Here is a 2,807-nt window from a genome sequence, read left to right as displayed (position 1 = left end):
TTCACAAGGTGCACAAGCAATTCATTAGAAAAAAGATTCGCTTTTCAACAAATGGTGCTGGAGCAACAGGTTATCCATAGGCAAAACAAACAATCAGCCACTTTCACCTAGCTTTATTATACCTCATACAACAGTTAACTCACAATGGATCCTGGACTTAAAGGTGAAATATAAAACTATTAAAAGTTGAGGAAAAATCATAGCTGAGAACCTCTGGATCTAGGCTTAGGTAAAGATGGATTCCAAACTTTTCTGCTCTGTTTTCTTAGGTGCTAACACCAAGGCAAGATGTATTTAAAAATGATAAGTTGGACCTCAAAAATGTAAACCTTGTTCTCTGAAAGAATATTGTAAGATAATGAAAATGCAAGTTACAAGTTGGGAGAAAATAGGACCTGAGAGAAAATATTGCAAACCACAAATCTGACAAATGACTGTTATTTTAGTTATATAAAAAGAACTTCCCAAACCCAACAGAATAAAAGAAAAATCCAGGCAGAAAATGCACAGAAGACATGAGCAGACCTTTCGCCATGAAAATATACTGCACAGCTAGCAAAAAAGCATGTTTATGATCATTATAGATATTCTATTCATCATTGTTAGCCATTTGGGAGGTGCAAATTAAAGCACAATGAGACATCACCACATAAAATGGCTAAAACGAAAAAAATTGTGACAACATCAAATTCTGGCAAGGATGTAGAGAAACTGCATTAGTGGGCAGGTGTGGTGGCTCATGCCTGTAATCTCAGTACTTTGGGAGGCCAAGGTGGGAGGATCACTTGAGCCTAGAATTCACAACCAGCCTGGGCAACATGGTGAGACCCTATCTCTACAAAGATTTTAAAACTTAGCATGGCATGGAGGGGTGTGCCTGAAGTCCCAGCTACTCAAGAGGCTGAGGCGAGAGGATCACTTGAGTCTAGGAGTTCGAAGCTGCAGTAAGCTGGGATCACACCACTGCACTCCGGCCTGGGCAATACAGCAAGACCCACGTGTCTCCTTGGCTTGAGGCCTGGGTGTCTGCGAGACACATCCCACTTGGCATGTGTGAGACTCCACCCCCTCGGCCCGCGCCTTCACCTGTGTCTCCGGCATGCATCCCCGTCTCAGAAGATGGGAACTGCATGCTTCAGGTGTTGGAATCTCATTGCAGATCCTGGTCCCACAGATCCCACACTCACCTTGCCATGGCTCTAGCTGAGGGGAGAGAGTATTCTGATAAGACAAGCTTGGCTCTACTCTCAGAAAATGCCTTGAGGACATTATTTGACATCTTGCAGAGTTCCTAAAGCCAAGACAACCTAGGCTTTTGAATCATGAGACCCCCTGCCCGCCACAGAGATGTATAAACATAATATCGTTCATATCTGTGTGTATACGTATCTACATCGTTATATATGTACATACACACATACGCTATATCATGCTATGTATACATTTTTACAATTATAGCAATTGTTATATACCAGTTCTTATATTCAATTCTATATAGTGTGTTATATATCTATTTCCATTTCTAATATAGAACATTACATATATAATATATAATCAATGATTGAGCCCCTGAGGGCTATCTAGCAGATACTATGAGTGTTAATGCACACATCTTGTTTCATAATCAATACTTGTACAGCGGGCGCTAGTCTGGGTCTCTGGTTGAGTCTCACCCGCAGTTAAGATGCGGCAAGCTGGTGAAGTAAGGCAGGGTCGACAAAGAGCAACTGATGGAAGGACTCAGGGCAGAGAGAAGACAACCTGTTAGAGCCCCACCGTCCTAGGCTGTGGCTCTGGATTCAAAGGTTGGAGTGAAGCAGAAGTGGGATGGTAAACAAAACCGACCTTCACATGCGTGCTCTCCAGATTTTGTTTTGAGAGAGAGATCGGTTCTTAGTGAGTGGTGACACTGTGGACACTTGCAATATGAAAGAAAGAAAGTAAACATTCCCAGTTGTGTCTGTGACCCTCTTTGTCATCTTCATTCCTGGAGATCAAAGGAACTCAGCGTGCCTGCTCCAGAAGGCTCCTGTAGGAGCTGGGCTTGAATTGGCAAGAACATAGCTGATCTGCATTCTCCAAAAGTGCTGTGTTGAAAAGCTATTTGCACAGTGCATTAGTCCATGTTCATAATGCTATAAAGAACTGCCCGTGCTGGGTGTGGTGGTTCATGCCTGTAATCCCAGCACTTTGGGAGGCCAGGGTGGGTGGATCACCTGAGATCAGGAGTTCAAGACCAGCCTGGCCAACATGGTGAAACCCCATCTCTACTAAAAATTCACAAATTTGCTGATCGTTGTGGCTCGTGCCTATAATCCCAGGTACTAGGTGGGCTGAGGGAGGAGAATTGCTTGAATCTGGGAGGTAGAGATCATGCCACTGTACTCCAGCCCGAGCAACAAAGTGAGACTCTGTCTCCAAAAAAAAAAAAAAAAAGGACTGACTGCCATAGACTAGTAATTTATAAAGGAAAGATGTTTAATTTACTCACAATTCAGCATGGCTGGGATGACTCAGGAAACTTACAATCATGGTGGAAGGCAAAGGGGAAGCAAGGCATCTTCTTCACAAGCAGCAGGAAAGAGAAGTGCTGAGCAAAGGAGGAAGAGCCCCTTATAAAACCAATCAGCTCTCATGGGAACTCACTCACTCTTAGGAGAACAGCACCGGGGAAACCGCCCCCATGATTCAATGACCTCCACCTGGTCTATCCCTTGACACGTGGGGACTATGGGGATTACAATTCAAGATGAGATTTGGGTGGGGACACAAAGCCTAACCATGTCACAGAGTGAATCTTGAGATTT

The sequence above is a fragment of the Homo sapiens genome, chromosome 18, assembly GCF_000001405.40.
Source record: "Homo sapiens chromosome 18, GRCh38.p14 Primary Assembly".
Lineage (NCBI taxonomy): Eukaryota > Metazoa > Chordata > Mammalia > Primates > Hominidae > Homo > Homo sapiens.
Note: the sequence above shows the minus strand (reverse complement) of the source record.